The sequence below is a fragment of the Homo sapiens genome, chromosome 11 (genome assembly GCF_000001405.40).
Source record: "Homo sapiens chromosome 11, GRCh38.p14 Primary Assembly".
Taxonomy (NCBI): domain Eukaryota; kingdom Metazoa; phylum Chordata; class Mammalia; order Primates; family Hominidae; genus Homo; species Homo sapiens.
Genome location: NC_000011.10, coordinates 108365278 through 108390041, shown reverse-complemented (window position 1 = coordinate 108390041; position 24764 = coordinate 108365278). Strand labels below are relative to the sequence as shown.

General features: G+C 40.1%; 2 protein-coding genes across 42 annotated transcripts in view, besides 1 other annotated feature; one reads left to right on the top strand and one right to left on the bottom strand.

Annotated features, from left to right (window-relative positions):
* Positions 1-24764, top strand: part of C11orf65 (chromosome 11 open reading frame 65) — a 161363-nt gene that overhangs the window by 79840 nt on the left and 56759 nt on the right. For 7 of the 28 annotated variants that reach the window (NM_001330368.2, XM_047426473.1, NM_001351110.2 and 4 more), the window contains one exon: positions 4067-4122. The exons of 12 other annotated variants lie outside the window; for them this stretch is intronic. In NM_001330368.2, coding sequence (NP_001317297.1) covers positions 4067-4122 — 56 coding nt within the window. 9 more of the 28 variants (XM_011542641.3, XM_005271413.4, XM_005271412.4 and 6 more) reach the window with 4 other exon arrangements.
* Positions 1793-1993: a silencer, noted in NCBI's record as "peak1452 fragment used in MPRA reporter construct". NCBI's record gives its function as "represses an SCP1 promoter by STARR-seq MPRAs in K562 erythroleukemia cells {active_cell/tissue: K562}" and the evidence as "EXISTENCE:reporter gene assay evidence [ECO:0000049][PMID:32103011]".
* ATM (ATM serine/threonine kinase) overlaps positions 20940-24764 on the bottom strand; it is a 146036-nt gene continuing 142211 nt past the window's right edge. For all 14 annotated transcript variants that reach the window (XM_011542840.4, XM_047426977.1, XM_006718843.5 and 11 more), the window contains one exon: positions 20940-24717. In XM_011542840.4, coding sequence (XP_011541142.1) covers positions 24534-24717 — 184 coding nt within the window. In that variant the 3' untranslated portion in view covers positions 20940-24533. The remainder of the gene's footprint in view (positions 24718-24764) is intronic.

Here is a 24764-nt window from a genome sequence, read left to right as displayed (position 1 = left end):
AAAAATAAATATAAATAAATAAAAAATAAAATAAATAAAAAAAAAACCAGCCAGGCGAGGTGGCTCATGCCTGTAATCCCAGCGCTTTGGGAGGCTGAGGAGGGCGGATCTTGAGGTCAGGAGATCGAGACCATCTTGCTTAACACAGTGAAACCCCATCTCTACTAAAAATATAAAAAATTAGCCGGGCGTGGTGGTGGGTGCCTGTAGTCCTAGCTACTTGGGAGGCCGAGGCAGGAGAATGGCATGAACCCACGATTCATGCCATTGGGAGGCAGAGCTTGCAGTGAGCTGAGATCGCGCCACTGCACTCAAGCCTGGGTGACAGAGCGAGACTCTGTCTCAAAACAAAACAGAGCAAAACAAAAAAACCCAGGATAAACCAGTAAGACTTGAAGCAATTTCTTCATAGCATATAGGAGTGGGATGGATATACCTAGCTTTCAGATGATAAGAGCAACTGAAAATTTCCATTAAAAAAATGCAAATACCTTGCTTCCAAGTTATGTATAATTTCTATCAGTTTATCTTCTGAGTTGAGGATACTCATAATTTTGTACCAACATGGACTCTTAGCAAGGTTTTACATTGAGCCTTGAACAACAAAAATTTCAGATGAAATTTCAAGTGTGATTATCTGGGTATATTTCAGTAGCACTACTTGGCCACAAGCACTGATTATCTCAGTAAGACCAAACTTTGCAAAGGCCTTCCCCTAGCTAACTGCAGACATTAGGCATAAGCCCCTTCTTTCCAGCACATTTATGGTCTCCACAGTCTACTTCCCCGTTTGACCTTTGTAGACCTCTAGATATTTGTAACTGGCTTGGTGACACCTTGTTTGATGAAAATTTAAAAGTCTGACATTTGTCCCCTCTAGAGAATTGGTCACCCCTAATTCCTTGGAAAGTATCCTTCAACGTCTATGGACATTTTTCTACAGTTGGACAGTTAGAATGGCATAAATGCCTTGAACACTGATATTTAGTGATAACAACCAGTTTCTCCCCAAAGGCTTTTGTTCTAGTCCGTTATGACAGACCGATGCTCTCCTGAGATGAAACCATGTCCATCTTCAGATGCGTACTGCAACTATTAACCGAACATTGTTATTATCATTTGGAAGAATGGATAGAGCCAGTTTCACTAGTGGACTCAAACACACTAATGAGTACTGTTGCAAATTCCTGTATCCAGAGCTATGTTGCTGCAGCTGTTTAGAACCCAGAACAATCCCCACATCACCATCACGGAGTTATGCACAATGCCACAGGACAGCTACCGTGGCTTTTGCTGGCATTCATCCTAATGGATATTCAGATGTTCCTCTTCCAGGATCATCACGTTTTTCAAACAGCAAGTGAATTTTGACATACCTATTAAGCAATCACCAGCTAGAAAATATTAAATAATTTCCTGATACTCTGTTGGGGAGAGCTCTGTGCCTATGTCTGTTATGGATAGTTTCTATATCTGAAGCTGCTCCTTTGATTTCTAAGATATGTAGTTTTGTGACCTCTCTGGCTAGGGACTTTTTCTGAGCTCTTAAAGTGTTAAATTTGTAATTTAACAAATGGATTCATTGTAGACTGCACACACACTTGATAACTATTATCTAAAAATTTCTACAAATTTCTTCGTGAGAAAGATGAGCTCTGTGATATAAACAGCATGGTAGTGCTTTCATCAGACTTGCTTCTATGTCTGTAAAACTTAGATTTCTTATCAATTACTGCTGGTATGTTCTTTATGAGAAGTTCTTTTTAAAATAATGGAATAAAAGTCATGTGCTAATCTTGGATAAAGCAGGGACAGTGATGGGGCCTAGCTATGGTAAGTGTTTGTGCCCCAGATTGTCAGGGCTCAGCACACTATCGATCAAGGTCTTTTATCTTGGTTTCTTGAAGGTGGAATGAAAGTCTTTTCTGTGTATAAATCCAAGCAAGCAGGATGACTCTTTATAGTGCTCCTGAGCAACCACTGAAAGCACAAAGTCTGCTAAAATTTAAGGTCAAACCAAACTGAATTGCCTACTGAGAGATTGTGGAAGGAGTTACACCACCTGCTCTTGTCCTGCATCCTTTCATTTAAGTCACCCAGCAGTATCCTATTGAAGGCCATTGAAGAAAGTTCGCAGAGCACCAAGGGGTAGCAGTAGTAAGAAGGAGCCAAATTCAGACACAACGTCTGATTGTAATTAAATACTGTTGGATAGGCCAAGTGCAGTGGCTCACGCCTATAATCCCAGCACTTTGGGAGGCCAAGGTAGGTGGATCACTTGAGCCCAAGAGTTCAAGACCAGCCTGGGCAAAATACCGAGACCCCATCTCTACAAAAAATTAAAAAGTTAGCCAGGTGTGGTGACATGCATCTGTGGTCCCATCTATTCAGGAGGCTGAGGCAGGAGGATCACTTGAGCCCATTAGTTTGAGGCTGCAGTGACCCATGATGGCACCAGTGCACTGCAGCCTGGGAGACAGAGCGAGACCTTGTCTCCATAAAAATAAGTATTAAATACTGTTGGAAGTATATACCCTCCTACTGCAAAAAACTTCAGGAGCACAGGGTTGACAGAAGTAAAAATAATTCAAATGGAACAAATAATTAGAAAATCACAGTGTCACTTTGGGAGGCCGAGGTGGGTGGATCACCTGAGGTCAGGAGTTCGAGACCAGCCTGGCCAACATGGTGAAACCCTGTCTGTACTAAAAGTACAAAAATTAGCCGGGCGTGGTGGCAGGCACCTGTAATCCCAGCTACTTGGGAGGCTGAGGCAGGAGAATCTCTTGAACCCAGGAGGCCAAGGTTGCAGTGAGCCGAGATCGTGCCATCACACTCCAGCCTAGGGCACAAGAGCGAGATTTTGTCTCAAAAAAAAAAAAAAAAAAAAAAAGAAAGAAAGAAAAGAAAAGAAAATCACAGTGTTTTCTGAATTACATGATAATTCTTTTTTTTTTTCTTTTTTGAGATCTCGCTCTGTCACCCAAGCTGGAGTTCAGTGGCACCATCTCAGTTCACTGCAAGCTCCACCTCCCAGGTTTTAGGCCGTTCTCCTGCCTCAGCCTCCCGAGTAGCTGAAACTACAGGCATGCATCACCACACCTGGCTAATTTTTTGTATTTTTAGTAGAGATGGGGTTTCACCGTGTTAGCCAGGGTCGTCTCGATCTCCTGACCTTGTGATCCGCCCACCTCGGCCTTCCAGAGTGCTGGTATTACAGGTGTGAGCCACTGCGCCCAGCCAATTACGTGACAGTTCTAATTCTCCACCTCTCTGTGCTAGCTCCCTTTTAGCACCTACTGTAACCAAATCCTGACCTGATTTTTTGATTAAAGTGGGTGCAGTTGTAAAGGCACCTTAGGAAAGTGGGATATGGAGCCTAAGGTGAAATAAATCTTAGGAAACCTGCCTCTTGGTGCTTTTCCATCATCCTCACAGAAGGTTGTACCTTGTCCTTCCCTATTCTACCTCTTCTCAGGCAACCCTCGTCTCTCTATTTCAGTCTCTGTTCAGGAGCTGAGGTGACAGCTGCATTTGCCATACCTAAATGTATCTCTTAACGTGTTCTGGACACTGCAAAGACAGCGCTGCTGCTCTAATGAGCTCAGAAACTAGATGCTTTAAATTTCCCTTCACGTATCAGAGACAGTGAATCTGGTAATCCAGAACAAAGGAGAAAGTTTTTGTTGTTGTCTCCAGGAGAGTTTTCTGCCCATGCTTTAAATTTGGATGTTATTAACTAACTTCTTAGTAAACACTCAGCTGAGGACATGATCTTTCTGGAATTAACAGGATAAAATGAGGGGGCATGCTAGAGGGAGGTGAAAGGACACTAAGTATGGCAGATGGTGGGCACCATTTTTATACCTCCTTCAACTCCTTGTCCTGAAGGTTCTTAGCTGGATGTGAGCTACTAGAAGGTGAGAAAGTCTTGAGAGTTACACATGGAGGCTAGTGAACATGCCATCATTAATCTAAGATTTCTGAAAAGTGGAATTTTAGAAGTAGTCTAAGTATGTACTAATGAATCGATTAAATTTAATGAATCCTCATATAATGTGCTTAGGTACATTGCCAGCTGGAAGGAAATTGCTACAAGCAACTCTTCGGCTAACTTCAAAGGTAGGTGATTTTTAGCAGTACTTTATAGGAAATTCTCATGAACAAAAAATACATTCCACACACGTATTTCTAGGCATTTAACATTTCAGTAATCTGCATAGTATATAAATTTAGATGCATTTGTCAAGTCATTTTTACCTTTGTATGTAAGATTGTTATTTGGGAATAGAAGGAAATGTCCTATATTATTTAAGTTTGAATAAAGTGATTTTAAAAATATGAATCTTTTTTTTTTTTTGAGACGGAGTCTTGCTCTGTCGCCCAGGCTGGAGTGCAGTGGTGCGATGTTGGCTCACTGCAAGCTCCGCCTCCCAGGTTCACACCATTCTCCTGCCTGAGCCTCCCAAGTAGCTGGAACTACAGGCACCCGCCACCACACCCCGCTAATTTTTTGTATTTTTAGTAGAGACAGGGTTTCACTGTGTTAGCCGGGATGGTCTTGATCTGCTGACCTTGTGATCCAACTACCTCGGCCTCCCAAAGTGCTGGGATTACAGGCGAGAGCCACCACGCCTAGCCAAAATATGAATCCTTTTTTAAAAGTTACTGGTCAGGCACAGTGGCACACACCTGTAATCCCAGCACTTTGGGAGGCTGAGGCAGATGGATCACCTGAGGTCAGGAGTTCGAGACCAGCCTGGCCAACATGGTGAAACCCTGACTCTACTAAAAATACAAAAATTAGCTGTGCATGGTGGCAGATGTCTGTAATCTCAGATACTCGGAGGCTGTGGCAAGAGAATCGTTTGAACAGGGAGGCGGAGGTTGCAGTGAGCCAAGATTGCACCACTAAACTCCAGCCTGGGTGACAGAGTGAAGAAAAAAAGTTACTTATAGTTTTAGTAACAATTTTTCATGAGCAGACTTCACTTGGCAAAATAAATGCCTCAAAATGTTGAAAATAGTTTTTAGGTTCTAGGCCACTATTGTTCTGCCAGTAGTTAGCAGTACTGAAATGCTAAAAGTAAAAGCCAGCATGTTGAAGAAGAGTGTCATCAGACCCCAGAAACGCCAATAATTTTAACATAGCCAAAGCCTAATGATGGTGTATGAGTTCTGTCCTACTAGCAGATAGGAGAAGCAGTAAAGCAAAGAGGTTAGGATTGTGGAGTTGTTTGTTTGTTTGTTTGTTTTTGTTTTTGTTTTGAGACAGGGTCTCACTCTGTTGCCCAGGCTGGAGTGCAGTGGCCTGGACCTCAGTTCCCTGCAGCCTCTGCCTCCCAGGCTCAAGCAATTCTCCCACTTCAGCCTCCTGGGTAGCTGGGACCATAGGCACACACCACCATGCCCAGCTAATTTTTGTATTTTTGTCAAGATGGGATTTCGCCATGTTGCCCAGGCTGGACTCGTGATCTGCCCATCTTGGCTTCCCAAAGGATTGTGGACTCTTGATTCAGAGTGCCTGGGTTTGATTTTTGGCTCCACTCTTTACTGGCTATATGATCTTGGGCAAGTTACTAGCTCGGTTTCTTCACTAGTAAAAGAAGAATAACGGTAGTACCTAGCACATAGGTTGTGAGATAATGAGATAATCATGCACAGAGCTTAGAATAGTGCCTATCTCATAATGCATACTCCATTAATATGAGCCATCCTTAGCATTAACCAATCCACCTATTTCCAGCTCACTGCCACCCACTCAGCCCAAGTTGCCTTCACCCCTCTACAGGCTTCTGCAATAGCCTCCAAACCAATGCTTCTCCATTCCCTTCTCTGCTCAATAGATAGTCATCTTTTACAAATTTAAATCAGCACAGAGACCCAGCACAATGGCTCATGCCTGTAATCCCAGCACTTTGGGAGGCTAAGTTTGGAGGATCACTTGAGGCAAAGAGTTCAAGACTATCCTGGGCAACATAAAGAGACTCTCACTCTACAAAAAATAAAATGTCAGCAGGGCATGGTGGCATACACCTGTAGTCCTTGCTACTTGGGAAGCTGAGGCGGGAGAGTTGTTTGAGCCCAGGAGGTGGAGGCTGTGCGATTGCGCCACTGCACTCTAGCCTGGGCAACAGAGTAAGACCCTGTCTCAAAAAAAAAAAAAAAAAAGGAAACAATATAAGTTACTGAGTTAAAAGAGATTACTGTGAAAAGAAGAAAGATATAGGATGGTAGTTGGAAGGAGCATAAAAGCAAGTGAAAATTATTTTAAGTAGTGGAGATTTGCATAACTGAAGCCAGTGAAGGTGATACATTGAAGATGTTGGCATTGGAGAAGAGGATAATGTGTGTCACTTCTTCAAGAAGCAAGAGAAGGTAAATCCAGAGCAGATTGAGAAACATGAGCTCTTGAGAGGAAAAGGGCATTTCTCCCTTTGTGAATGAAGAAGTTAGCTAATAGTTACAGAGCACCAACTAAATACCAGATGCTCTAAGTTCTTTACATGCACTGTCACATTTAACTCTTGCAGGAATATGATGAGGTAGGTGCGGTTATTATCCCCATTTTACAGATGAGAGCACTAAGACTTAGGTTAAATAATTTGTCCCAAATTACACAGCTAGTTATTAGTAGATCAGACCTAAAACCCAGGTCCTGCAGAGCCTTTTGTAGGGATGGACAGTGATATGTGGGAGTGAAAGTGGGATGAACTCAGAAATTTGGGGTGTTTCTGGTTTCAGGTGAAGATATTTGCTTTAAGAATGGTGAAAAGGAATGTGGAACAGACCACAACACAGTAGCATTTTGAGTGAGCATCTTATTATATCTGGTATCTTTCTAATCATTTGTCACTTCTCTTTAGGATTCAGGTTTAATCAAGCACAGAAAAACATATATAACTATGGAGGAGACATATCAAAGATGCAAATGGGAATACCAGATGATACTTACTATGAAAATGTTTATCAAGAACCAAATGTAACTAGATTAACGCCTGATTCTACTTATGGACTATAAAGTACTTTATTTCTATTCTGAGTTATAGCCCTTTGAGCCTTCCATCCATCAGTTATAGCCAAGAGATAGTGTATTCTGACTGGAATAACTTGTGTATATATTCTGGGCACAGAATCTAGCTCAGTTAAGTAAGGAAGATTGAGCAGAAATAGAACACTGGACTGAATACAATGATCATGGCAAATATAGAAATTATTCCTAGTATTCTGAGAAACTGTAGTATTCTAACAGTCACACTTAAGTAAAGAGACTACATTTAGGTGCAAGAAGCTTCAGACTGATTATTTTGCATGTTTACTTGAGGCATTTAGTGCATTCATGGAAGGCAGAGCTCTCGGTCCCTTTATCCCATATCCTAGTGTGCCTTGCTTCTTTAAATCCCCTCTCCCACGTTTATCCTCTCATTACTCCATTTTTTTCTTCACTGAACCTTTTTTCTTTCTTCCTCTTGATTCTCTGTCTGCTTACTCATTCTAGTTTGTCTTTGCAATTCTCGGTTTCTCTCACACTTAGTTACTGCCTATTTTATGTCATAGTTATTTCTTTCTTTTATAATGTTATCTTTCCTTGTTTACATTTTTCTCTTTACTTGCTTTCATCAATGTTGCCCTTTCCTTTTTTCATTTTCCTTCCTAGATCATTCCCCTAATCTCAGTTTTTTTGGGGCCTACGATTTGCCTTCACTACTCTGCATGCAATACAACTCTTTGGATTCCCATTCCCTTTCTTCCAGGTTAGAGCAGTGAATTAGTTTTCTATCACTGCATAATAAATTACCCCAAGACATAGCAGCTTAAAGCAACAGTTATTATCTCATTCAGTTTCTGAGGGTTAGGAAACTGGGAGTGGTTTAGTTGGGTGGCTCTGGCTTGAAGTCTCGCAGGAGGTTGCAGTAAAGATTTTGGCCAGGGCTGCAGTCATCTGAAAGCTTGACTGGGTTGGAGAATCTGCCTCCAAGATGGTACACTTGAACAGTTGTTGGCAGGAGGCCTCAATTCCTTGATACTTAGACCTCCCCATAGGATAGCTTGAGTGGCCTCATAACATGGCTGAGCAAGCAACCTGAGAGAGAGAGAGAGAGAGAGCAAGGAGGAAGCCGCAATGCCTTTTAAGAACTAGTCTGAGAGGCCACACACCATCACTTCTGCCCTATTCTATTAATTAGAAATGCATCAAGTCCAGCCTATACTTATGGAGAGGGGAATTAAGCTCTATCTCTTAAAAGGAAGATTGTCAAAGAATTTGTGAATACATTTAAAATCAACACAAAGAGAAAAGGAACAATCTTAGTGATTCCTTTCAAAGGAAACCATAAGACATTGGTACAGATAGTTTATTTCGGAGATGATCCCAGAAAGCACAAATTAGAAATTAGAGAATTAGAAATTAGAGAATTAGAAATTAGAGAAATTAGAAATTAGAGAAAGTGACACAGGGAAGGGAGAAAAGCCAAAAAACTTTTGTGTTAAGAATGGGTTATTACTGTGGGTATCCAGGCCTCAGTTTGCTAGGAATGCTCTGAGGAACCATACAGAATGTACTTCAGAATTTTCCTACTAGTGGACAGAGAAACCAGATATTTATCTACCAGCATGAGGAGCCAAACATGACCAGGTAGCAATCATAGTTCTAGGTTCAGTGGAATCCTTATTGTGACCTCCAGGGGAACCATTCCCTCACTGGATACAGGGAGGATACATGCATCCAGTGGCTACATGGACTCAGTTCTGCTGAGTCTCAACTTGTAGGAACAAGAAGCACAAATTCCCAAGGGATCACTGAGAGTAGTGGTGAGAGGGGCCAACCTAATTTCCATCCCTTGGTTCTTGGACCCATATGTCATAACACTATTTAAGTTATTTAGACAGAGCACCATATAATGGCCCTTGGTTCAATGTATATATCACATCCTGGAGGAAAATGCTCCAACCTAGCTGCATGTCATACTTAAGCTAGAACCTTAGGTTACTCCTTAACAGGCCAATTTAACATTCTAATAGTTTCTGGATTGTGTGGCATATGATAGGACTAGTGTTTTCCATTGTCATATACTCTACTCATTTTTTAAATTCCTTTACTGTAAAATTGGTCCCTTGGTCAGAAAGCCCATAATAGTAAATCATGCATTTTATAGGTCCTTAGATAGTGGTTCTGATAAGAGTCACCATAGTCAAGAAAGGCAAATCCATACCTGGACCAAGTAGTAATCCCTGTTAAGAATGAATTGCTGCAATGTCCAAACAAGAATGGGTCTGATATAATCATGTTGCCACCAAAGAACTGATTGGTCTTTTCAAATGATGGTGTCATATCAAGGCCAAGTGTCATTCAGCAGTGGAAGCAGCTAGATTAGTTTTTCTGAGAAAAGGCCCATGATTTTGGGCGCTTGGCTTCCATCCATGCCATCATGACTCTTCTGTAGATGAGCTAATTGCACAAGCACTAGGGTGGCCAAGAGCATGTTGGCTGGCCCTCAGTGCCAAAGTCACCTTATACATCTGGTTGTTTAATGTCTCTTCTGTAGTGGATGCTCTCTGGTAAGCATAAAAGTGATATGTGAAGATCCACACCTTATAAGTCAATTGTTATGACATTTCCCAGATTTCCTTGTCTCTGATCTAATTTTGCCCTTTCCAAGTTAAGTACCTGACCAATGAGTCAATTTGCCACTGCCCAAGAATCCATGTGTATCTCTACTTAAGGCTACTTCTCTCTCAATAAGAAGTGAATGACCAAGTATAGTGCTCAAAGCTTTGCCCACTAGGATTTTCCCTTAGCACTGTTCTTTAGGGCTATACCTAAGTGGAGCTGTAGTAAGGCATCAATGCAGTTTTAGCTTGAGCCAACTCATTCATGAGCAAGGCCCAAGTTCGTAGGGAACGTCTCTACCTTGAGTGATGTACCATAGGTATACCATAGTCAGTATCATCAGTGTGGCCTGAGAGAGAAGCATTTGGGCAACTGAATTAGGTGACGTGGAGATGAGGGCTCTTGCTGTGTAACTTACTTGTGCTTTTCAAATCTGCTGGAGATAATTCCCAAATGTCTCATGTAATGGGTATCTACTGTGCCTGCTAGATCTGACAATTCACAGCAAATAAACTTCCCCCATGAAATCTGTCAAATATTACCCCTTTTTGAGAAATTATATCCATGACTATTTACTCTCCAAGACATTCCATATAACATTTATCACCAAGTCCTGCTTGAGGAGTAAGAAAGTAAAGCAGCTGGCCTGTGCTCCCTTCACCTTGTCAAGGGAACTTCTAGGTACAGTCTAATGTTATTTGTCCTTGTGTAGAAGTCCCTTAGCAGGCTAACCCTGAGTAAGGGTTACTTAAATAAACCCAGGAGCTATGGATTTTCCTTTTTTTTTTAATTTTATTTTATTATTATTATACTTTAAGTTTTAGGGTACATGTGCACAATGTGCGAATTAGTTACATATGTATACATGTGCCATGCTGGTGTGCTGCACCCATTAACTCGTCATTTAGCATTAGGTATATCTCCTAATGCTATCCCTAGCCCCTCCCCCCACCCCACAACAGTCCCCAGAGTGTGATGTTCCCCTTCCTGTGTCCATGTGTTCTCATTGTTCAATTCCCACCTGTGAGTGAGAATATGCGGTGTTTGGTTTTTTGTCCTGCGATAGTTTACTGAGAATGATGATTTCCAATTTCATCCATGTCCCTACAAAGGACATGAACCCATCATTTTTTATGGCTGCATAGTATTCCATGGTATATATGTGCCACATTTTCTTAATCCAGTCTATCATTTTTGGACATTTGGGTTGGTTCCAAGTCTTTGCTATTGTGAATAGTGCGGCAATAAACATACGTGTGCATGTGTCTTTATAGCAGCATGATTTATAGTCCTTTGGGTATATACCCAGTAATGGGATGGCTGGGTCAAATGGTATTTCTAGTTCTAGATCCCCGAGGAATCGCCACACTGACTTCCACAATGGTTGAACTAGTTTACAGTCCCACCAACAGTGTAAAAGGGTTCCTATTTCTCCACATCCTCTCCAGCACCTGTTGTTTCCTGACTTTTTAATGATCGCCACTCTAACTGGTGTGAGATGTATCTCATAGTGGTTTTGATTTGCATTTCTCTGATGGCCAGTGATGATGAGCATTTTTTCATGTGTTTTTTGGCTGCATAAATGTCTTCTTTTGAGAAGTGTCTGTTCATGTCCTTCACCCACTTTTTGATGGGGTTGTTTTTTTCTTGTAAATTTGTTTGAGTTCATTGTAGATTCTGGATATTAGCCCTTTGTCAGATGAGTAGGTTGCGAAAATTTTCTCCCATTTTGTAGGTTGCCTGTTCACTCTGATGGTAGTTTCTTTTGCTGTGCAGAAGCTCTTTAGTTTAATTAGATCCCATTTGTCAATTTTGGCTTTTGTTGCCATTGCTTTTGGTGTTTTGGACATGAAGTCCTTGCCCATGCCTATGTCCTGAATGGTAATGCCTAGGTTTTCTTCTAGGGTTTTTATGGTTTTAGGTCTAACGTTTAAGTCTTTAATCCATCCTGAATTAATTTTTGTATAAGGTGTAAGGAAGGGATCCAGTTTCAGCTTTCTCCATATGGCTAGCCAGTTTTCCCAGCACCATTTATTAAATAGGGAATCCTTTCCCCATTGCTTGTTTTTCTCAGGTTTGTCAAAGATCAGATAGTTGTAGATATGCAGCATTATTTCTGAGGGCTCTGTTCTGTTCCATTGATCTATATCTCTGTTTTGGTACCAGTACCATGCTGTTTTGGTTACTGTAGCCTTGTAGTATAGTTTGAAGTCAGGTAGCGTGATGCCTCCAGCTTTGTTCTTTTGGCTTAGGATTGACTTGCCGATGCGGGCCCTTTTTGGTTCCATATGAACTTTAAAGTAGTTTTTTCCAATTCTGTGAAGAAAGTCATTGGTAGCTTGATGAGGATGGCATTGAATCTATAAATTACCTTGGGCAGTATGGCCATTTTCACGATATTGATTCTTCCTATCCATGAGCATGGAATGTTCTTCCATTTGTTTGTATCCTCTTTTATTTCGTTGAGCAGTGGTTTGTAGTTCTCCTTGAAGAGGTCCTTCACATCCCTTGTAAGTTGGATTCCCAGGTATTTTATTCTCTTTGAAGCAATTGTGAATGGGAGTTCACTCATGATTTGGCTCTCTGTTTGTCTGTTATTGGTGTATAAGAATGCTTCTGATTTTTGTACATTGATTTTGTATCCTGAGACTTTGCTGAAGTTGCTTATCAGCTTAAGGAGATTTTGGGCTGAGACAGTGGGGTTTTCTAGATATACAATCATGTCATCTGCAAACAGGGACAATTTGACTTCCTCTTTTCCTAATTGAATACCCTTTATTTCCTTCTCCTGCCTGATTGCCCTGGCCAGAACTTCCAACACTATGTTGAATAGGAGTGGTGAGAGAGGGCATCCCTGTCTTGTGCCAGTTTTCAAAGGGAATGCTTCCAGTTTTTGCCCATTCAGTATGATATTGGCTGTGGGACTGTCATAGATAGCTCTTATTATTTTGAGATACGTCCCATCAATACCTAATTTATTGAGAGTTTTTAGCATGAAGGGTTGTTGAATTTTGTCCAAGGCCTTTTCTGCATCTATTGAGATAATCATGTGTTTTTTGTCTTTGGTTCTGTTTATATGCTGGATTACATTTATTGATTTGCGTACATTGAACCAGCCTGGCATCCCAGGGATGAAGCCCACTTGATCATGGTGGATAGGCTTTTTGATGTGCTGCTGGATTCAGTTTGCCAGTATTTTATTGAGGATTTTTGCATCAATGTTCATCAAGGATATTGGTCTAACATTCTCTTTTTTGGTTGTGTCTCTGCTCGGCTTTGGTATCAGGATGATGCTGGCCTCATAAAATGAGTTAGGGAGGATTCCCTCTTTTTCTATTGATTGGAATAGTTTCAGAAGGAATGGTACCAGTTCCTCCTTGTACCTCTGGTAGAATTCGGCTGTGAATCCATCTGGTCCTGGACTCTTTTTTGTTGGTAAGCTATTGATTATTGCCACAATTTCAGATCCTGTTATTGGTCTATTCAGAGATTCAACTTCTTCCTGGTTTAGTCTCGGGAGAGTGTATGTGTCGAGGAATTTATCCATTTCTTCTAGATTTTCTAGTTTATTTGCATAGAGGTGTTTGTAGTATTCTCTGATGGTAGTTTGTATTTCTGTGGGATCGGTGGTGATATCCCCTTTATCATTTTTTATTGTGTCTATTTGATTCTTCTCTCCTTTTTTCTTTATTAGTCTTGCTAGCGGTCTATTAATTTTGTTGATCCTTTCAAAAAACCAGCTCCTGGATTCATTAATTTTTTGAACGGTTTTTTGTGTCTCTATTTCCTTCAGTTCTGCTCTGATTTTAGTTATTTCTTGCCTTCTGCTAGCTTTTGAATGTGTTTGCTCTTGCTTTTCTAGTTCTTTTAATTGTGATGTTAGGGTGTCAATTTTGGATCTTTCCTGCTTTATCTTGTGGGCATTTAGTGCTATAAATTTCCCTCTACACACTGCTTTGAATGTGTCCCAGAGATTCTGGTATGTTGTGTCTTTGTTCTTGTTGGTTTCAAAGAACATCTTTGTTTCTGCCTTCATTTCGTTATGTACTGTACCCATTCAGGAGCAGGTTGTTCAGTTTCCATGTAGTTGAGCGGTTTTGAGTGAGATTCTTAATCCTGAGTTCTAGTTTGATTGCACTGTGGTCTGAGAGACAGTTTGTTATAATTTCTGTTCTTTTACATTTGCTGAGGAGAGCTTTACTTCCAACTATGTGGTCAATTTTGGAATAGGTGTGGTGCTGAAAAGAATGTATATTCTGTTGATTTGGGGTGGAGAGTTCTGTAGATGTCTATTAGGTCCGCTTGGTGCAGAGCTGAGTTCAATTCCTGGGTATCCTTGTTGACTTTTTGTCTCGTTGATCTGTCTAATGTTGACAGTGGGGTGTTAAAGTCTCCCATTATTATTGTGTGGGAGTCTAAGTCTCTTTGTAGGTCACTCAGGACTTGCTTTATGAATCTGGGTGCTCCTGTATTGGTTGCATATATATGTAGGATAGTTAGCTCTTCTTGTTGAATTGATCCCTTTACCATTATGTAATGGCCTTCTTTGTTTCTTTTGATCTTTGTTGGTTTAAAGTCTGTTTTATCAGAGACTAGTATTGCAACCCCTGCCTTTTTTTGTTTTCCATTTGCTTGGTAGATCTTCCTCCATCCTTTTATTTTGAGCCTATGTGTGTCTCTGCACGTGAGATGGGTTTCCTGAATACAGCACACTGACGGGTCTTGACTCTTTATCCAATTTGCCAGTCTGTGTCTTTTAATTGGAGCATTTAGTCCATATACATTTAAAGTTAATATTGTTATGTGTGAATTTGATCCTGTCATTATGATGTTAGCTGGTTATTTTGTTCGTTAGTTGATGCAGTTTCTTCCTAGTCTTGATGGTCTTTACATTTTGGCATGATTTTGCAGTGGCTGGTACTGGTTGTTCCTTTCCATGTTTAGTGCTTCCTTCAGGAGCTCTTTTAGGGCAGGCCTGGTGGTGACAAAATCTCTCAGCATTTGCTTGTCTGTAAAGTATTTTATTTCTACTTCACTGATGAAGCTTAGTTTGGCTGGATATGAAATTCTGGGTTGAAAATTCTTTTCTTTAAGAATGTTGAATATTGGCCCCTACTCTCTTCTGGCTTGTAGGGTTTCTGCCAAGATCCGCTGTTAGTCTGATGGGCTTCCCTTTGAGGGTAACCCGACCTTTCTCTCTGGCTGCCCTTAACATTTTTTCCTTCATTTCAACTTTGGTGAATCTGACAATTATGTGTCTTGGAGTTGCTCTTCTCGAGGAGTATCTTTGTGGCGTTCTCTGTATTTCCTGAACCTGAACGTTGGCCTGCCTTGCTAGATTGGGGAAGTTCTCCTGGATAATATCCTGCAGAGTGTTTTCCATCTTGGTTCCATTCTCCCCATCACTTTCAGGTACACCAATCAGATGTAGATTTGGTCTTTTCACATAGTCCCATATTTCTTGGAGGCTTTGTTCGTTTCTTTTTATTCTTTTTTCTCTAAACTTCCCTTCTCGCTTCATTTTATTCATTTCATTTTCCATTGCTGATACCCTTTCTTCCAGTTGATCGCATCAGCTCCTGAGGCTTCTGCATTCTTCACGTAGTTTTCGAGCCTTGGCTTTCAGCTCCATCAGCTCCTTTAAGCACTTCTCTGTATTGGTTATTCTAGTTATACATTTGTCTAAATTTTTTTCAAAGTTTTCAACTTCTTTGCCTTTGGTTTGAATTTCCTCCTGTAGCTCGGAGTAGTTTGATCATCTGAAGCCTTCTTCTCTCAACTCGTCAAAGTCATTCTCCATCCAGCTTTGTTCCATTGCTGGTAAGGAACTGCGTTCCTTTGGAGGAGGAGAGGCGCTCTCCTTTTTAGAGTTTCCAGTTTTTCTGCTCTGTTTTTTCCCCATCTTTGTGGTTTTATCTACTTTTGGTCTTTGATGATGGTGATGTACAGATGGGTTTTTGGTGTGGATATCCTTTCTGTTGTTAGTTTTCCTTCTAACAGACAGGACCCTCAGCTGCAGGTCTGTTGGAGTTTGCTAGAGGTCCACTCCAGACCCTGTTTACCTGGGTATCAGCAGCGGTGTCTGCAGAACCACGGATTTTCATGAACCGCGAATGCTGCTGTCTGATCGTTCCTCTGGAAGTTTTGTCTCAGAGGAGTACCTGGCCATGTGAGGTATCAGTCTGCCCCACTGGGGGGTGCCTCCCGGTTAGGCTGCTCAGGGGTCAGGGGTCAGGGACCTACTTGAGGAGGCAGTCTGCCCATTCTCAGATCTCAAACTGCGTGCTGGGAGAACCACTGCTCTCCTCAAAGCTGTCAGACAGGGACATTTAAGTCTGCAGAGGTTTCTGAGCCTACAGAGGCAGGCAGGCCTCCTTGAGCTGTGGTGGGCTCCACCCAGTTGGAGCTTCCCGGCTGCTTTGTTTACCTAAGCGAGCCTGGGCAATGGCGGGTGCCCCTCCGCCAGCCTCGCTGCAGCCTTGCAGTTTGATCTCAGACTGCTGTGCTAGCAATCAGCAAGACTCCGTGGGCGTAGGACCCTCCAAGCCAGGTGCGGGATATAATTTCCTGGTGCACCGTTTCCTAAGCCCGTCGGAAAAGCGCAGTATTCGGGTGGGAGTGGCCCGATTTTCCAGGTGCCGTCTGTCACCCCTTTCCTTGACCAGGAAAGGGAACTCCCGGACCCCTTGCGCTTCCCGTGTGATGCGATGCCACGCCCTGCTTCGGCTGGCGCACGGTGCGCTGCACCCACTGTCCTGCACCTACTGTCTGGCACTCCCTAGTGAGATGAACCCGGTATCTCAGATGGAAATGCAGAAATCACCCGTCTTCTGCGTCGCTCACACTGGGAGCTGTAGACCGGAGCTGTTCCTATTTGGCCATCTTGGCTCCTCCCACTTCTTCCTTTTTAAAACGGTATGTCTTTTATTGCTTTCTATTTACATTACTGCATGGCTAGGAACTCCAGTGCAATGTGGGATAGAAGTGGTAAGAGTGGCATCCTTGCCTTGTTCCTGATCTTTGGAGATAACCAAGGTTTTCATCATTAAATATGACGTGAGCTGTAAGTTTTTCACAGATGTCCTTTGTCAGATGTCTTTTATTCCTAGTTTGATGAGTTTTATCATGAATGAGTACTGAATTTTCTCACAAGCTTTTTCTGCACTATTGGCATGATCATATGGTTTATTTAGTTACATTGATTGAGTCAATCTGGAATAATGCCATTTGGTCATGATTTACCTCTTTCTTATATTGATAGAATTGATTTGCTAATATTTTGTGAGGATTTTTACATCAATGTTCATGGAGGATATTGGTCTTTAGTTTTCTTTCTTTTAATTTTTTTTTTTTATGAGACAGTCTCACTCTGTCACCGAGGCTGGAGTGCAGTGGCACGTCTCGGCCCACTGCAACCTCTGCCTCTTGGGTTCAAGTGATTCTTGTGCCTCAGCCACCTGAGTAGCTGGGATTACAAGCATGTGCCACTACACCCAGCTAATTTTTTTTTTTAAATCTTTGGTAGAGATGGGGTTTCACCATATTGGCCAGGGTCTCAAAATCCTGACTTAAAAGTGATTTGCCACCTTGGCCTCCCAAAGTGCTGGGATTACAGATGTGTGCCCGGCATCTTTCTTGTAATTCTCTGTCTGGTTTTGAGTATGCTGGCTTCATAAAATGGGTTATTCTAATATTATGAAGAGTTTTTGTAGAATTGGTATCATTTCATAGATGGCACTGACTTACCACAATTATTTTCTGTGTTTTTGTCCTTTTCATCTTTGAAATGCCTGTGAAGTCCACTTGTCCATGATGCTTTACACTGCAATGATTTAAAATAAATCTGGCAAACAGCTAATTTCCTTTTTCTGTCTTAAAACCTTTGCAACTCTCATAATCATGGAAATCTAAAAACACTGTTTAAGAAATAAGAATTATTGGCCAGGCACAGTGGCTCACGCCTGTAATCCCAGCACTTTGGGGTGCTGAGGCGGGCATATCACTGAGGTCAGGAGTTTGAGACCAGCCTGGCCAACATGGTGAAACCCTGTCTCTATGAAAAATACAAAAATTAGCTGGACATGGTGGTGGGCACCTGTAGTCCCAGCTACTTGGGAGGCTGAGGCAGGGGAATCGCTTGAACCTGGGAGGCAGAGGTTGCAGTGAGCCGAGATCGTGCTGCTGCACTCCAGCCTGGGCGACAGAGCGGGACTCCATCTCAGAATGAATGAATGAATGAATGAATGAATGAATGAATAAAATTTAGTGTTACAAAGAGTTATAAGTTTATATTAAATATTCAAACACTACAGTAGGGAACATTTTGGGTAGTTTTCAAGTAACCTAACGTTACGATCTCCTAACAAGGTTAACAACAATACACAGAATCAGGTTTTGAAACCGTCAATTGAAGGACATTTTTTGTTTCTAAAACTTAGAATACCATTTATAGGATTTGTGTAAAATATACAATGCTTCTACTTGTAAGAGTCACCCACACCCATTATGTCTGCTACTCAAAACATAAAAACAGAAAATAAGTGTTGATAAGGATGTTGAGAAATTGCAACCCTTGTGCACTGATGGTGGAGTTGTAAAATGGTTCGGCCACTGTGGAAAAACAGTATGGTGGCTCCTTAAAAAGTTAAAAATAGAATGACTATATGATCCAACAATTCCGTTTCTGGGTATAAAGAAAAAAGAGTTCTGAAGACATATTTGTATACCCATGTAAATAGTGACAATATTCACAATAGTCAAAGGGTAGAGACAACTCTAGTATCCACTGATGGATGAATGGATAAATAAAATATATACAGTATATACACATACACAATGGAATATTATTCAGCCTTAAAAAGGAAGGAAATTCTGCAATATATTACAACATAGACGAACCTTGAGGACATTATGCTAAGTGAAATAAGCTAGTCACAAAGAGACAAATATTGCATGATTCTACTTATAAAAGGTACAGTACCTTGAATGTCAAATGCAGAGAGACAAAAGGTAGAACAGTAGTTCTCAGGGGCTGGTTGAATAGAGGAGTGGGGAGTTGTTTAATGGGTATAGAATTTTAGTTTTGTAAGGTTAAAGAAGTGCTGGAGGTTGGTTGCACACCACTGGAAATGTATTTTATCGCTACTGAACCGTATACTTAAAAACGAGATGGTAAATTTTGTTGTGTGTGTGTGGGTGTTTTTAAGTGACTCACCATTAGTAGTATACCGGCTATGAACACACACTTATATCATGGCAAGAACTAATAAGCAAGATCATGACCACTTCTCTCCTATGTTTCTGTCCCAGTATGGGAATACTGACCTTAACCTTTAATACTATGTCTCAGTGTTCAGTGCTGTTTGTGTTGCTGGATTCCTTCAAATCAGCAATGTGTCTATGTTGATTGCTAAGCTTTAATTCTCACCGGAGAATTATAATATCTTTCCTATTTTCCTGATTTTATTACTGATTTTTCTTGGGATTCAAAATTTGGGAAAACAAAAAGTTTCTCAAGAAATGCTGGAAAGGAAATCCCACTTGGAAACACTAACCAAAACGTTTGCAAGCAAAATAAAGCAATAGATAAAATGGATCAGTTGAGGTTATACTAGGAGTATAAGATGATTTAACCTTAGAAAATCAAACAGTGTAGTTCACTACATTAACAGATTCAAGGAAAATAATCATCATCAATAAATGCAGATAAACTGCTAAAATTCACCATCTGTAATAAAACCTCACAGCAGCCTAGGGACAGAAAGGAACTTCTTTAATCTGATAAGGGAAATACACACATTAAAAAAAAACAAAACAAAACCCTGCAGCAAACAGTAAATTTAAAGGTAAACACTTACACTTTTATCTTTGAGATGAGGCACAGGACTAGAATGTCCCAATATTCTACTGATGATTGTGCTAAAGAGAGGTCCTAGCCAGTAAAATGAGGCAAGGAAAAAAAAAAAGCAAACAGTATAGATTGGAATATGATCTAACAATTCCATTTCTGACATTATTCATAGATGATATGATTATATACATAGAAAATCCAAACATTACTCATAGATGATATGACTATATATATAGAAAATCCAAAAGAATCCAGATATATTTCTAGAAAGAATTAAAAGAGCTTACTGTGGTTACTGGATAGAAAAATCAATATGTAAAAACTAATTTTAATTCTAACAGTAATAATTAGGAAAAACTTATGAAAAAAATGTCCTTTATAAGAACATTTAAAAAAACAAAGTGCTTAGGAATAAACATAGTAAAACTATACAAGATCTCTGCAAGGAAAACTAAAACTTAACTGAGTGACATTAGGAACAAGGGAAAATCCCTACCTGAAAGATTTAACCTTAATGAAAACACTAATAAAAATGTCTGTCAACCAAAAAAACTCCATTAAGAGAATGAAGAGACAAGCTACAGAATTGGAAAAGATGTTAGCTAAGATGTTACATAACCAACAAAGGATCAGTAGAAATATCAGCAAAGAATACGTACAGGCAGTTCATCAGAGAAAATCATACTGACTAACAAGTGTATACTAAAACATTTAATCTCCCTAGTAATTAGTGAGGTACAAATTAAAATGAGACATGATACCATTTTGTTCCCATCAAAATAACAATAACTTTATTTTGAAAATATCAAGTGAGGCAGCAAAATCACCCCTGGTTAAGAACCACTGCTTTTGGATCATACACAATGAAAGTATATATTTCTACATACTGTTGTACATAAAACTGTGTATGCTGTACTTTTAATGGCAAAGGGATTTTTCAGAGGATAATGTCTATTATGAGATCTCCTTACTTACCAAATTCTGAGTCATTATAATCTTTGTGGAAACTTTGACTCCACTATATTTATGCAAAATGCATTTTGTTAAAATCTAGGCAAAAGAGACTAAAACTCCAGAGGACTGAATTTATTTTAAAAATATGATAAACAGGTAAAAAACTTTGCATTTAGGATACCAGGATCTTTGCACTTGTCATATTCTAGTACAGATCTTTTAGGCTAGAAATGTCAACTAGATCACTTTCTAGGCCCAAAGAAAGAACATTCATATTTGCCTTTTCGTCAGGAGGCGACTAAGAAACACTACTAGGATATTTAGACTGAGATGCAGCATTATCAGACTGGTTGTGCAATAGGCTCCCCGGTTCACACTGCGTGGTCAGTTGCCTATCCTCCTCAGATTGGGAGCTTTATATAGGCAGACTATGCCTGCCTTGCTCACTGCTTTCTCCTTAGAACGAGTCCCATGCCTGGCACACAGAACACACAAATATTTGAATAAAGTGAATGAGTCTTAGTATATGCTTTTAGAATTATTTATTCAAAAACACTTTATAATAAATTCAGGTAACAGTAAAGTAATACATTCAATAGTACTAAAATCTATAGAAAATAGATAATTTCATTAAGGTGCAATTAAAATACTTGAAATTGGGACACATCTCTATATTTCAAACCAATATACTGGCTTTCTTTTTAAAAGACTATTCTAGTCTTTACGCTGTCCAAAGTTTTTCCTCTTTGCTTTTATTTGCTTTAGACCATATTTAAATTTTTAGCATTCCTAAGTGCATACATTTTAGGCATATACTATAATGACCAAGAGTTTGTGAACCTACTGATTAGGTAAACACTTTGGGGAGGTATGACCTGCACAAAGTAGGGTGGGAAAGCTATTATCTCCCTTAATCTGGACACAACTGTTCAAGCAGTCTATAATTTATTAGCTTCTCTGATAGCTTCACTATTTGGTTTTCATTGACCTTTTGAGCAACTGACTGGCAAACCCCAGATTCTTTTCGCCTGAAATCTTTTCAAGTTAGATACTGTCCATATTACACTTGTACTTATAATTTACTATCTTCTTGCCTTGGACAACTTATTTCTCCAAATTCTGATTTCTCCAGCAGTGTATTGGGATAGTATCACTAATCTTGCAAAGTAAAGATCAGAAATGCTGTACATAATATGGGTCAGTGACTTAGCATACAACAACTATTCTATGATTAATATTTTCAAAATCTAACTACTCCTCATTTGTCCTTGGCAGTTTTCTATCTTAGTCATTTGCAGAAAGAGTTCCAGCTTGCCAAAACCTTTTTTTTTTTTTTTTTGAGGCAGAGTCTTGCTCTGTCGCCAAGGCTGGAATACAATGGCAACCCTGTCTCTACTAAAATTACAAAAAAAAAATCTTTTATAATCTTAATTCTGTCATCTGTGAATTAGTTATTTCTCCTAGGCTTGTGATCTGTATGTAAATTTGATAAACTTTTCAAAGCCATTGATTAGAATACTTGAACAGAACAGGAGCCTCATAGCATACCATGCAAGGCTAAAGAGTAGATTAATGATGTTATTCAAAGCTCTCTGGATGCAACAACTAGCAAGAATTAGCTACAAATTCATTTATCTATACTATTATCTAGTTGATAATTTCTAATTTCACCCATGAAGATTTCAGGGCTTTCTTAAAGACATTTTAAGTTTACTGCATTTCCTTGATTTACTATAGTAATAAAACTACCAATATATACCAAATATTCATTTAGGCAGCTTGTAAGAAAAAGATACACCAAGGTAAGTTTGTAATTTGAAATGCAAAGTAATATTCTGAACAGTTCTCCAGAAGTCAAACCAAGAAATTTATAGTCCAAAAAGTTCTGGAGATTGGTTTTAGGGGAGGGGAAGGTGAGGAGATCAAATATGAATGAGTGCCTGCCATTGGCAATAAAAAGAAATGCCAACTCTTCATAAGAAAAAAATTTATATAACCTTCAAGGTCCAAATACGAGGAGAAAGCTCAATCACCCATTTGTTAATCTCCGCAGCTGGGATGAACATTTTCCTAAGGATGGAGAAGAGATTATACTCACTAATACACGAGTCAGTAGTTTTACTTTCAGGTGGCTTTTTATCTGATGTTTATCTTATATGATGACAGCTGGGGGACAGAGAAATGTTCCACTTCTACCTATGTATCAAACTAGATACCTAAGCCCTTCCCTTCCAACAGAACACAGAGAAATGCTGGATAAAATGTAGAAAACATTCTTTTAAATACATAGCAGAACTTACAAGAAAGGGGAAATCCTTACGGTCAAAAATGAGGGGAATGAGGCCGGGCGCGGTGGCTCACACCTGTAATCCCAGCACTTTGGGAGGCCGAGGAGGGTGGATCACGAGGTCAAGCGATCGAGACCATCCTGGCTAACACGGTGAAACTCCGTCTCTAATAAAAATACAAAAAATTAGCCGGGCGTGTTGGCACACGCCTGTAGTCCCAGCTACTCGGGAGGCTGAGGCAGGAGAATTGCTTGAACCCAGGAGGCAGAGGTTTCAGTGAGCTGAGATCATGCCACTGCACTCCAGCCTGGGTGACAGAGCAAGACTCTGTCTCAGAAAAAAATGAGGGGAATGAAAAACCAGAGAGGTGAATATGTGAGCTGATGCTGTAGCTGTCCTGGAACAATTTGCCAGTCTCATTAACCCACGGCTTTTAGCTTAGACATCTATATGGGGAGCAAAGAACCCAGGGCTTGCCAAAGGCAGGCAGTGGGAATTAAATGTACCTCCTTCCACCCCTGCCATAAAGGTGGGACACATGGAAGCTTATACTCTCAGTGAAAAAGGCATCAATCAAATATTCTGCCCACTAGCACAAGGAGATGAGGAGGAAGTGTGTTTGCCTTGGCCTGGGAAATCTCCTATCAGTATTTATGCTACACTTCAGGTATGGAAACCCTAAAGCCAAGAAATTAAAATAAGAATGGGCTTGTGTGCAGCAACAGCCCTGGGAATATGACATAAACAGACACTCAAGATTCCCATAGATAAAGCCTTGCTGAAAATAAACTCACTTTTCAAAAAGACAAAACTGGATGAACAGCCTATCAAATACAAAAATCAACAGATATAAACAGCAGGAACTAAATTTAATAGAACTATTACAGTGTCTATCAAGTACAGACATTTAAAATAATTAGTGACATAAAAAACATTAAAAAAACATTAAAAATGACATCAAGAAACAGAGATCTGAAAAATGATGCATAATTAGAAATGAAAAACAATTTCTGAAAGAAGAAGCCCAATGGATAGGGTAAAAGAGATTATATACATCTGACAAGAGAATTCATGAACTAGAAGGCAATCTATGAAGTTATCACAGAAAGATAACATACATGGACAGTACAGAAGGGCTTAAAAGATAAAGAGAATAGAATGAGAAGTTTTAATACACACTTAAAAAAATAGTAACTACACTAACTGTGTCTTTGAAATTTGTTCTCCATAACAACTTCATTATTTAGTAACACTGAGTGATCTTACTAGGAAAAATCCAAATACGTTTCTGTTTTTTTTTTTTTTTTTTTGAGATGGAGTTTCGCTCTTGTCACCCAGGCTGGAGTGCAATGGCATGATTTTGGCCCACAGCAACCTTCACCTCCCAGGTTCAAGAGATTCTCCTGCCTCAGCCTCTCGAGTAGCTGGGATTACAGGTGCCCGCCACCATGCTCGGCTAATTTTTGTATTTTTAGTAGAGACAGGGTTTCACCATACTGGCCAGGCTGGTCTCTTGGCCAGGCTGGTCTCGAACTCCTGACCTTGTGATCCGCTCACCTCGGCCTCCCAAAGTGCTGGGATTACAGGCGTGAGCCGCTGCGCCCAGCCCGAATGACCATTATTTCTAAAGAGTGAAAGCAGAGATGTTCCTTAAGACCATCAAAACATTTTTGAGTGGTGATTAAATCAAGTATTAAAACCAACATTCAAAAAAACCCACAATAGTTCACTTAAATATTAATCCCTACTTAAAGTATGTTGGCAGGTTAAAAATAAAGGCTAAAATATAATTTCTAAAGGCTGAATGAAAGGGTAATTCATATACTGAAGATCACACCCAAGCTTTCCATCCTGGGAAAAGTCGGCTGAGATTTTTGGGGTCTATGGCCTGCTGTATGAGCAAATTCACTTGTCCACCAACACTGAGCACAGTGCCTTCTTCCACTCCTTTCAGTTTCTCTTGTAGTCTCATTAAGACACGTTCAGCTACTTTGTTGAAACTCTGGTCAATATCACTAAGGACAAAAACACAAAGGTTTCAGTGAGGTGAACAGTTTAAAGG